Source organism: Homo sapiens, chromosome 15 (genome assembly GCF_000001405.40).
Source record: "Homo sapiens chromosome 15, GRCh38.p14 Primary Assembly".
Taxonomy (NCBI): Eukaryota; Metazoa; Chordata; class Mammalia; order Primates; family Hominidae; genus Homo; species Homo sapiens.
In genome coordinates, this window is record NC_000015.10 from 22,960,289 (window position 1) to 22,973,022 (window position 12,734).

General features: G+C 46.4%; 1 protein-coding gene across 9 annotated transcripts in view, besides 3 other annotated features; it reads right to left on the reverse strand.

Annotated features, from left to right (window-relative positions):
- CYFIP1 (cytoplasmic FMR1 interacting protein 1) overlaps positions 1 to 12,734 on the reverse strand; it is a 113,847-nt gene that overhangs the window by 93,237 nt on the left and 7,876 nt on the right. The gene's annotated exons all lie outside the window — the stretch shown is intronic.
- Positions 6,732 to 6,898: a silencer, noted in NCBI's record as "fragment chr15:22905882-22906048 (GRCh37/hg19 assembly coordinates)". NCBI's record gives its function as "represses an EF-1alpha promoter that drives an FKBP-Casp9 reporter gene in an ReSE screen in HepG2 liver carcinoma cells {active_cell/tissue: HepG2}" and the evidence as "EXISTENCE:reporter gene assay evidence [ECO:0000049][PMID:32094911]".
- Positions 6,732 to 7,249: a biological region, named in NCBI's record as "H3K4me1 hESC enhancer GRCh37_chr15:22905531-22906030".
- Positions 6,750 to 7,249: an enhancer, noted in NCBI's record as "H3K4me1 hESC enhancer chr15:22905531-22906030 (GRCh37/hg19 assembly coordinates)". NCBI's record gives its function as "activates a minimal SCP1, AML or CMV promoter by ChIP-STARR-seq in naive H9 embryonic stem cells {active_cell/tissue: H9 hESC(naive)}" and the evidence as "EXISTENCE:reporter gene assay evidence [ECO:0000049][PMID:30033119]".

Below are 12,734 nucleotides of genomic sequence, written 5' to 3' on the forward strand. Positions count from 1 at the left end.
CTCCACATGCACCAAGACACCTCACAGGTCCCACGCAGTGGGGTGGTCTGTGCCTTCGGGTGCCCCATTTCAGCGGGCTCGTGCTCTGGGATGTCCCAGGCACCTTGCCGGAGACGTCCTGCAGAGACAGGAGCTCCATAAGCAGGCGGTGCCACAGAACATCCCCAGTGACTGTGAACCGAGCAGGGACCTAACGGGGAGCTTCTCAGGTAAACCAGAATCCTGATCTTAAAGCTCCGGGTCTTCACGAAAACTGTGGGAAAGGTATCCAGGCCATTTAGCTGTCCATCAAAGGAACAAAAGCAGAAAGCAGCTCTTTCACTGAGGTCATATAAATCTTTTCCACCATTACAGCAACACCTGCACATCCAGAACATGTGAAGGAAACACCACTGGCCCATGCATGAACCGCAGCCTGCTTCAGGGCGGCCCGCCCTCCTCCTGCTTAGGCATGAGACAAGCCTGACAATACCACATCTGGGCGGAAAAGCCTGGAGTGTGTTTGCAGATGACTTTCCTAGCAGCACATCCCAGGAGGTTTCTTAGGTCACACAATGTCTCTAAAGCTGCAGGTGGCTTTGGGCCAGGTGCCCTCCTACGGGGGCCCACGAACAAGGTGGAGCCGGACAGTAGCATGGCGCTTCCCAACAGAATCCAGGGGTCACTTCTGTTTTTATAATTTAATCTGAATGTTCTTTTAATTTGTATTTCATTTATTTATTTATTTATTTATTTATATTTTATTTATTTTTAAGATGGAGTCTCACTGTCACCCAGGCTGGAGTGCAAGTGGCATGATCTCGACTCACTGCAACCTCCGCCTCCTGTCTTCAAGTGATTCTCCTGCCTCAGCCTCCCGAGAAGCTGGGATTACAGGGGCTCGCCACCATGCCGGGCTAATGTTTGTATTTTTAGTAGAGACGGGGTTTCACCATGTTGGCCAGGCTGGTCTCGAACTCCTGACCTCAAGTGATCCGCCGGCTTTGGCCTTCCAAAGCGCTGAGATTGCAGGCATGAGCCACTGTGCCTGGCCTTAATTTTCATTTCTTGTATTATCACTGAGATGAAACATATTTCTATGCATTAACCAGTTTGTTTTTCTTCTTTTTTGAGACAGGGTCTCACTGTCAACCAGGCTGAAGTGCAGTGGTGTGATAACAGCTTACTGCAGCCTCAACTTCTCAGGCTCAAGTGATCCTCCCACCTCAGCCCCCCAGGTAGCTGGGACTACAGGTGTGCACCACCACGTCTGGCTAATTTTTTTGATTTTTTGTAGAGACAGAGTCTTGCCTTGTTGCACAGGCTGGTCTTGAACTCCTAAGCTCAAGAGATCCTCCAGCCTCAGCCTCCCAAAGATGCTGAAATTACAGGAACGAGCCACTTCCCCCTGCCTGTTTTTCTTCATTTGTAACTTGCCAGCTTGGGTTGTTTGCCTGTTTGTTTTTTTAAAATCCTTGGAATCTTGGTATTTTCCTCAGCAACTGACAGATGGACTTACTATACTAACAACGTTAAAGATATTAAAGCTTTGTGAGAATTGCTACAAAACTTTTTCCAGGTCAAGCTACTTTCTTTTTCATTTCACTTACTATTTTCTTTGAAACTAAGTTTTAACTTTTTATCATATTAGCTTTTCCCTTTGGAATTTCCTGTTTCACTTCTAAATTTACCAAGGAGGAAGAAGTCTGCCAGCCCAGGCCCAGGGAAGGAAGCAGTTTCTAATCATAGCCCCAGTTTCTGCAAATTGCTGTGGCCACTATGGGAAGCCAAACAGCTGCTCAGGTGAGAAACAGTGTCAAGGCAGCACTACTATAGGTAATCTCAGATAATTCATTTAAAAGTAATCTTGAGATCAATAAAAATTTCAGCAAACTGATTGGTAGTAGGATTTTTAAAACTGGGACTCAGATACATAATAATTCTTGGACTCTGACCTGCTCTCACCATAATTAGTAATGTTTAATGATGTCAAAGACGTGCGAACTCACTGCCCACACCGAAAGGCAGAGTCCTGCTTGTGATCCACAGTGAGCCCCTGCTCTGCACCCCCAGGCATCGATCCCCTGCTTTCTTCTGCATAAACTGTATCTCATCTATATTCTTCTTTTTTTTCTTTTTTTTTTTCTTGAGACGGAGTTTTGCTCTTGTTGCCCACGCTGGAATACAATGGTACAATCTCAGCTCACCACCACCTCCGCCTCCCTGGTTCAAGCTATTCTCGTGCCTAAGCCTCCCGAGTAGCTGGGATTACAGGTGTGCGCCACCATGCCCGGCTAAATTTTGTTATTTTTTTTTAGTAGAGACAGGATTTCTCCATGTTGGTCAAGCTGGTCTCGAACTCCCGACCTCAGGTGATCCACCAGCCTCGGCCTCCCAAAGTGCTGAGATTACAGACGTGAGCCACCACGCCCGGCCATAGCTCATCTATATTCTTAAAAAGCACCTTTCAGTTGAGTTGTTATAAAAGGGATATCATCTATATATAGTCACCTGACCTATTCATACTGTGCCCACTGCTATTACGAGACGCATGCACGCTGCCAGGCGGTGCTCCTGAAGCACCATGTTGACGTGTGCGTGCTATTCCACCCAACCAACAAACCAGGCTACATGTCCTGTCTCCTGCTGCTCAGAACCAATGCCATTTGCAGACACTTGGCTGTCATGACCTCTGAGGAACATTCTTACACATGAATACCTGGGCAACACATGCTCCAGCACAGGGCTCGGCAAGCATTTTCTAAACAGGGCCAGTAGTGGACAAGTGTCCTGTGGCACACAAGAGAACATCCTCATTCTTAGGAAATAGACACTGATGTGTCTAGAGGTAAAGGGCCTCAAGTGGAGAGAGAAGTGTTTGAATTGTGTTCTTTGTCCTATTTTTATTTTTGCAATGTTTTGTATAAGTTTGAAGTTATTTAAAATGAGTAAGAAAGGCCAGACGCGGTGGCTCACACCTGTAATCTCAGCACTTTGGGAGGCAGAGGCGGGCGATCACCTGAGGTCAGCCTGACCAATATGGAGAAACCCCGTCCCTACTAAAAATACAGAATTAGATGGGCGTGGTGGCAGATGCCTGTAGTCCCAGCTACTCAAGAGGCTGAGGCAGGAGAATCGCTTCAATCCAGGAGGTGGAGGTTGCAGTGAGCCAAGACTGTGCCATTGCACTCCAGCCTGGGCAACAAGAGCAAAACTCTGTTTCAAAAATAACATAACATAACATAACATAACATAACATAACATAACATAACATAACATAACATAACATAAGAAAGAATGAAATATCCCCCTGAAAACTTTTTGTGAACATAAGGGAAAGGAATGGGAAATGTCTCAAACAGACTTGCCCCGACTCTTCAAGCGGAAGTGTGTTTTGGTCGCCCCTCACTCCTATGGCCCCGGGCAGGCTGGACGCTGGCACGTATCGCAGGCTGAACCCATCTCACCAGCCAGAGCACGGCCACAACATGCCCGCGTCTGCCTAGAGGAAGGTTTTGCCCAGAGTCACGCACTCCTGGGCAGAAAGCTTTTAACCCCCAGTTGTGAGAGATGCCTGGACACCATGCCTTCATGAGGACGGCTTGTAGAAAGGACCTTCCAGGCCCAGTCAGCCCCGGGAATAAACATCAGTGTTATAATCAGAATGCTTCAGATCATTGCAAAAGAGCTGGGTTTTGTTTTTTGTGGATGGGCCAAACTAATTTATTATGAGACAGAAACTATGGATTCACATGTTTTTATATAAATTAAGGTATTGTTGACAAATAAAAATTGTATATATTTACTGCATACAATCAGAGGTTTACATATATGTGTACCTTGTGGAATGGTTAAATCGAGCTATTACGCATATGTATCACTTCACATACTTTTTTTTTTTTTTTCCCTTTCTGGAGCAAGAGCAGCTACTTTCCCAGCCAGATGATGAGCTTAAAATATGTGAACCCTACCCCACCCCCATGCAGAGTGAGTCCACTCCTCCTCACCACACACACACACACACACACACACACACACACACACACAACTGGCGGCCCCACCAGCAGACTCCGCAACCTCATCACTCACACACACACACACACACACACACACACACACACACACACACACACACACACACCCGGCAGCCCTGCCAGCAGACTCCGCAGCCTGGAAGGCAGGAAGCAGCCTCCAGCCCCAGCAAGAAGGCAGGTCTTGGCCTTTGGCTGACCTCGGCCACGGTGCCCCAGGCCAGCAGGGCAGTTTCCCCTGCCCGGCAGCTCCCCGGGGAGTCGGGAACCAAGTGCAGCCGGCGAAGATGCCACGGGCACCTGAGACACAGGGCTCCATGTTCCCTCTGGGAAAAAGGGACCCCACCCTGTCCTCAATCACCTTCAACACCAGCACATCTCAGCCGCTTGCACTTCGTGAAGCCTTGGGCTGTCTGAGCTCATTCAACCCCTTCTTTAGAGACGGCGAAATTGAGGGCCAGAGAAAGTGATTTGTCCAAATTCACAGAGCCGAGAAACGGCAGGAGATGGATGCCAACCCCAGCCCCGTCTGCCTGCCCAGATGGGTTATTTGCAGCGACCCTCATTCTACTCTCTGCTTCTATGAGCTCAAATTTTCTAGATTCCACATAGAAATCAGGTCATGCAGTATCTGTCTTTCTGGGCCTGGCTTATTTTACTAAGCGTAATGTCTTCCAGGTTTATCCTTGTCACAAATGACAGGATTTCCTTCTTTTTAAAGGCTGAATAGTATTCCATTGTGTGTGTGTGTGTGTGTGTGTGTGTGTGTGTGTACACATATATTAATAAACATATCAACATACAGGTAACCAAAAAGTGCTAGATTTTACGTAAAAATACTCTAAACTTAAAATTACTTAAAAACATCCTAAATTACTGTCTGGGTGTGGTGGCTCACGCCTATAGTCCCAACACTTTGAGAGGCCAAGGCAGGCGGATCACCTGAGGTCAGGAGTTCGAGACCAGCCCAGCCAACGTGGTGAAACCTCGTCTCTACTAAAAATACAAAAATTAGCCAGGTGTGGTGGCGTACGCCTGTAATCCCAGCTACTTGGGAGGCTGAGGCAGGAGAATTGCTTGAACCTGGAAGGCAGAGGTTGTGGTGAGCTGAGATGGTGTCACTGTACCATTTCTATGTTTACGTAAACTTGGATACACAAATACTCTTAACCACAGTGTTCACTGCAGTAACACACTGCACAGGCGTGTGGCCTGGGAGCAACAGGCTCTAGCGTGGAGCCTAGGCGTGCAGCAGGCAGTACCATCTGGGTGTGTGTAAGTGCCCTTTATGATGCCCACACAATGACAAAAGTGCCTAACAATGCATTTCTCAGAACATATCCCTGTTGGTAAGTGATGCATGACTGTGATTCCTTGGAATGACAGAAGCAAATACTAGAGCACCTGTATTTTTATCTAACAGGGATAACGAATTAGGCTTCCCTAGTAGCGGACACACCAGGCCCCAGCCCCTTCCCGCTGCCCTGGTGTCCCCAGAGCAGCAGGAGTCCATGGCTCTGAGAGTTCAGGGGCGCCCCATCAACAAGGGCTTGGCCCAGGGGATCAAAGGCGATAATGAAGAGCCCACGTTTTAACAAAACAAACTGTTATGGGCTGAACTGTGTGCTCTCAAAATTCGTGTGTTGAAGCCTTAACCCCCAGGACCTCAGAATGCTTCCGTTCTTTACAGAGATAATTAAGTTAAAATGAATCCATCAGGGTGGGCCCTCATCCAATAGGACTGGGTCCTTATAAGACAAGGAGATTAGGTCGGGTGCAGTGGATCACACCTGTAATCCCAACACTTTGGGAGGCCGAGGCGGGTGGATCACCTGAGGTCAGGAGTTCGAGACCAGCCTGACCAACATGGAGAAACCCCGTCTCTACTAAAAAAAAAAATACAAAATTAGCCAGGCGTGGTGGCGTGGGCCTGTAATCCCAGCTACACACTGAAATCCCAGCTACTCAGAAGGCTGAGGCAGGAGAATCGCTCGAACCCGGGAGGCAGAGGTTGCGGTGGGCCCAGATCACGCCACTGCACTCCAGCCTGGGCAACAAAAGCAAAACTCCGTCTCAAAAAAAAAAAAAAAAGACAAGATTAGGACACAGATGCACACAGAGAGAAGACCACGCAAGGACGCAGGGAGAGGACGGCCATCTGCAAGCCAAGGAGACAGGCCACAGAGGGAACCAACCTGCCCACACTGTGATCTTGGATGTCCAGCCTCCAGAACTGTGAGCAAATACTATGTCTGTGGTGAGGCCACCCAGTCGCTGGTACTGTGTTTTGGCAGCCTTAGCAGATAAATACACAAAAGCTTAGGAGGGGTTTGTTCCTGCCGGGGATGAAGAAGGACCTGAGTTGTGGCCAACAACAGGCTGCAGAAAGGCAATGCCATCCTGAAGATTTCTCAACTAAGAGTCTGCACCCATGACAGCCCACCGAGACCCTCGCTCCAAGTTTGTGGAGAAAGGGAACCCGCTTGGCAGCATGTGGAAAGACCCCACGATGAGCAGCAGACACAGCAACGCTGCCTCCTACATCTCGACAGCATCTGTGTAAGACTCGCTAGCATCTGGTGCACACACTGTATGAGACAGCAACAGCCAGAACAGACAGCTTTACGTTGATGAACACACAGACGGTGGCGCATGTTCAGAGATGCCGAGGGGACGCCGCAGTTCCCAAAATCACCTCTGCCTTTTTTTTTTTCTGCAGGGGAGCCAATAAAAAAAGCTGATAAAAGATGAAAAGAGAATACTTAATAAGTAAGCATAATTTATTTAAACTTTTCCAAGCAACCTGAGGTACCTGAATACCTGAAGCACTGGCTCTAGCATCGGTTGGGACACGGGACAAGGAGGCAGTGCTCTCCTATCGCCCCTTCCCAGGAGCTGCTGGCAGCAACAGGTTATGGACTACAATGGGCAGGTCACCCACCACCTGTTTATAAATCTTGGAGAGTCTTCCTCAAAAGTGACAATGGCCTGGACGGGGCCCGACTAAGCCCTGCTGGCTGAGGGGCTCAGGACAGGTGACTTCAGAGCACGCTCCCAGATCTCACTAAATGAAATCACAAAGTTCCTGAAGCACAGAGTTCCAATCGCACTTTCCACCATGTAGTCTTGGCTAAGTCTACAGGAGTGCGGCCGACATATGTGAAGAGGAAGAACTCGGGGCACCTGAACCTTTCCTGCTCACAGTGTGTGGGAAGACATGTGCCGGCCTGTGTCTTCACACACACTTCCAGGGCCCGGCCCCACCACAGCCCGCAGCTACAACATAGCACCCCACCACAGCCCGCAGCTACAACACAGCACATCTGCCCTCCACCTGGGCCTGGGATAGAATCAGGGCAACCAAGAGCTCCAGAGGCTTCTCAGGTGCCCATCACAGGTCACAGTCAATTCCATGTGACCAGTGAGGTCAGCCTGAAATGTGTGACTGAAATACAAGAAGGCCGGGCATGGTGGCTCCTGTAATCCCAGCACTTTGGGAGGTTGAGGTGGGAGGATCACTTGAGCCCAGGAGTTCATGACCAGCCTGGGCTACACAGTGAGACCCCATCTCAAAAAGAAAAGAAGTCAGCACTCTGGGAGGCTGACACAGGCAGATCACTTGAGGTCAGGAGTTTGAGAACAGCCTGACCAATATGGTGAAACCCCGTCTCTACTAAAAACACAAAAATTAGCCAGGCGTGGTGGCACACGCCTGTAATCCCAGCTACTCAAGAGGCTGAGGCAGGAGAATCGCTTGAACCAGGGAGGTGGAGGTTGCAGTGAGCCAAGATAGCGCCACTGCACTCCAGCTTGGGCGACACAGCGAGACTCCATCTCAAAAAATAAATAAATAAATAAAAATAAAACGCAAATTATTTAAATACAAAATAAAAATCAATCCCTGTGATGGTTGCTTTTATGTGTCAACTTGGCCAGGCCATGGTACCCAGTTTTTGGTCCAACTCCAATCTAAACATTGCTATGAAAGTACTTTTTAGATGAGATTAACATCTATACCAGTAGACTCTGAATGAAACAAATTACCCTCCATAATTTGGGTGGGCCTCATCCAACCAGTGCAGGCCTTGAAAGAAAAAAGACTGACCTCTCCTAAGAAAGAGGGAATCTTGCCTTCAGGCTGCCTTCAACATCAGCTTTTCCCCGGGTCTTTAGCCTATGGGCCTGCCTTGCAAACGCTGGACTTGCCAGCCTCTACAATTGTGAGTCAGATCCTTAAAATAAATCTCTCTAGACGCACATCCACACGTATCCTGCTGCTTCTGTTTCTCTGGAGAACCCTGACTAATACATCACCTCTACCACCTCCACACCCTGTCATCACGACAAACAAGAAAACACAACTTGTGCATATGAAAACCTTATCCCTGTGGTCTCCTTGACAGGAACAAGGCTACCTCTCAAGAGTCAGTGAAGTTTTTGTTCATATGCACAAGTCTACTCAATTTAACACATACAGTTATTCAATGATCTCTGGGGGCAGCTGGCCCCACTGAGCCATGAGTCCAGGTGGTGTTAAGGCTCACTGGTTTCGTGGAGACTGGTCCTTCTAGGAACAGCTTGAGAAGTTGAGCTTTGGACAGGGATTCAAATGTAATGCAGAACTTCACCACTTCAGCTGTGGGGCTATGTGGTTCTTCAGAGCAAGCACATCTCCTTCTGTGAGTATCTTCAAGGACAAATCAACACTCATCCCCACTGTCCTGGCCAGGAAAACATGACTGCAAGGAGTGACCACACAGGCTCTGAGCATCAAATTTTGGCTATGGAATCAGGTTTCAAGATGAAACCCACTGCTTTCAGAGTGTTTTGGGCTTTTTTCCCCCTCCCCTGTGATGCAAATGTGAATGTGAAGGGGAAAGCAAAGAACAGGGCATGACAAGGTCACAGCGGCTATCACTGTACATCTGTCTTATTCCCATCTAAAAAACCTGGGAGCCACAGTTCAACAGACATCACCTCTGCCCCCATGGAGGGCCAAGCCACAGCCCACGGCATGGGCTGTGCGTGAAGGAAATGCAGTCGTAATAAAGTTGGAGGGGGAGCGACCAGGAAAACAAATGCCCAGTGAGCTTGTGCTGAATAGCACAGATGCACATCAGGCTTAAACCAACACGATGGTGAAAAACACATCCCTAATTTCTTGAGACCATGTTCTAAGAGGCTTTTAACACAAAAAAATTCATACAAATGCAAATCTTGTCCCTGGAATGCTCTGAAATCCTTCTATTAGATAACCCTCCTATTAGAAATCAGGCCGGAGCTGCTGTGGCCATCAGCTCTCTGGATATAAGACATAAAGAGAACAAATAACAAAATGACAGATGTAAATCCCACTACATACATATTTGCATTAAATGTAAATGAACAAGATACTCAAATCAAAAGGCAGAGATTTACAGAGTAAACAGAAAACATGAACCAACTATATGCTATCCACTAGAAACAAATTTTAAATATAAAAATACAAGTACGGTGAAACTAAAAGAACGCAAAAGGACATACCATGCAAAGAGTAACCAAAAGAGAGGGAAGTGGCAATACTAACATTAGACAAGTATTAGACAAAACAGACCTGCGGACAAAAATTACTACAAACATTATGATAAAAAGGTAGTCCCTCTGTGCCTCATAACACATGAAACTCTGGATGACATGATTTTATATGTAGTAAATCCCAAAGATTCCATAATAATTATTAGTTAGAGCTAATAAACGAATTCAGGGAAGTTGCAGGATACAAAAGCAACATGTAAAAATCAGTTGCATTTCTATATTTTAGCAATGAACAATCCCAAAAGGAAATTAATTCCATGTACAACAGCATCCAAAAGATGAAGAATGTAGTGTAAATGAATTTTACTTATTCAAGATATTAGTCTCAAAATGGCTAAATACAAGTTTCAATTTAAAAAAATATAATCAAGGAGGTGAAAGACTTACACACTAAAAAATATAAAACACTGCTGAAAGAAATTAAATACAAACAAATGGAAAGACATCTTTGTTAATGGATTGGAAGACATAATATTGTTAAGATGACAATACAATCCAAAGCCTTCTAAAGACTCAATGCAATCCCTTTGAAAATTCCAACAGCACTTTGTTTTTGCAAAAATAACCCATTTTAAAATTCATAGGAATCTCCAAGGACCCAGAATAGCCAAAGCAATCTTGAAAAAGATGAACAAAGTTGGAGACTTCACTCCTTTTTATTTCAAAACTTACCATAAAGCTACAGTAATTGAAACAGTGTGGCACTGGCATAAAGAAAGGCATACTGGCCAATTAAACAGAACAAAGAACCCAGACATAAACCTTCACATATGTGGCCAAACAATTTTCAACAATGATGTCAAGATCATTCAATGGAAAAAGAATAGTCTTTTCAACAAATTGTGTTAGGAAAACTGAATATCCACACATACATGAATTATGTTGGACCATTACCTTATATAATATACAGAAAAGTTAATTTGGCCTGGCGTGGTGGCTCACTCCTGTAATCCCAGCACTTTGGGAGGCCGAGTCGGGCAGATCACAAGGTCAAGAGATCGAGACCATCCTGGCTAACACGGTGAAATCCCGTCTCTACTAAAAATACAAAAAATTAGCTGGGTGTGGTGGCGGGGGCCTGTAATCCCAGCTCCTAGAGAGGCTGAGGCAGGAGAATCGCTTGAACCCGGGAGGCGGAGCTTGCAGTGAGCCGAGATTGCGCCACCGCACTCCAGCCTGGGCGACAGAGCAAGGATCTGTCTCGAAAAAAAACCAAACACACACACAAAAAAGAAAAGTTAATTCAAAACAGATCAACGCCTAAACATCGGATCTAAAACTATAAAACTCTTAGAAGAAAACAGGAGAAATGCTTCATGACATCAGATTTGGCAATGATTTCTTGGATATGACACCAAAAACACTGGCAACAACAGAATTAATAGACCAGGTGCTGTTGCTCACATCTGTAATCCCAACACTTTGTGAGGATGAGGTGGGAGGATCACTTGAGCTCAAGAGTTCAAGACTAGCCTGGGCAACACAGCTAGACCTTGTCTCTACTAAAAAATAAAATAAGGCTGGGCGTGATGGCTCATGCCTGTAATCCCAGCACTTTGGGAGGCCAAGGCAGGCAGATCGCTTGAGGTCAGGAGTTCCAGACCAGCCTGACCACCATGCAGAAACCCTATCTCTGCTAAAAATACAAAATTAGCCAGGCGTGGTAGTGGGCGCCTGTAATCCCAGCTTGAGTAGCTTGAGGCTGAGGCAGGAGAACTGCTTGAACACGGGAGGCAGAGGTTGCGGTGAGCCAAGATTGCGCCATTGCACTCTAGCCTGAGCAACAAGACCAAAACTCTGTCTCAAAAAAAAAAAGAAAAAAGAAAAAGAAAAGAAATAAAATAAAAAGTAGCTGCACGTGGTGGCTCACACCTGTAGTCCCAGACACTCAGGAGGCTGAAGTGGGAGGATCGCTTGAGCCCAGGATATCAAAGCTGCAGTGAGCCATGACTGCACCACTGAACTCCAGCCTGGGTAACAGCCTAGGTAACTCATCTCAAAAAATAAATAAACAATAGATAGTACCCAAAGCAATCTACAAATTCAATGCAATCTACAGGTTCAATGCAATCTACAGATTCAAAGCAATCTACAGATTCAATGCAATCTACAGATTCAATGCAGTCTCTATCAAAATACCTACCATATTCTTCATGCAAATAGAAAAAGAAATCCTAAAATTTGTGTGGAACCACAAAAGACTTGGAATAGCAAAAGCTATCCTGAGCAAAAGAACAAGGCTGGAGGCATCACACTACCTGACTTCAGAATATACTACAGAGGCTGGGCATGGTGGCTCCCGCCTGTAATCCCAGCACTTTGGGAGGCTGAGGTGGGCGGATCACCTGAGGGCAGGAGTTCGAGACCAGCCTGGCCAACATGGTGAAACACCGTCTCTGCTAAAAACAAAAAAATTAGCTGGGTGTGGTGGCGCACGCCTGTAATCCCCAGCTACTCAGGAGGCTGAGGCAGGAGAATCGCTTGAACCCGGGAGGCGGAGGTTGCAGTGATCCAAGATTGCGCCATTGCACTCCAGCCTGGGTGACAGAGTGAGACTCCGTCTCAAAAACAAAACAAAACAAAAAAAACTACAGAGATATAGTAACCCAAACAGCACACTATTGTCATAAACACAGACACATAAACCAATGGAACAGAATAGAGCCTGGAAATAAATGCATGCATTTGCAGCCAACTGATTTTTAACAAAGGTGCCAAGAACACACAATGAGAAAAGGATAGGTTCTTCAATAAACGGTGTTGAGAAAACTAGATACACACATACAGAAAAATAATATCAGACCTTGGCTTCTCAACATAGACAAAAATCAACCCGAAATGAATTAAAGACTTAAATGTGGCCAGGTGCGGTGGCTTAGCCTATAATCCCTGCGAAGCCCAGGCAGGGGGATCACCTGAGCTCAGGAGTTTGAGACCAGTCTGAGCAACATGGTGAAACCTTATTTCTACAAAAAAACACAAAAATTAGGCGGTGGCTCACACCTGTAATCCCAACACTTTGGGAGGCTGAGGCAGGAGGATCACTTGAGGTAAGGAGTTTGAGACTAGCCTGGCCAACATGGTGAAACCCTGCCTCCACTAAAAATACAAAAATTAGCCGGGCATGGTGGTGCACACCTGTAATCCCAG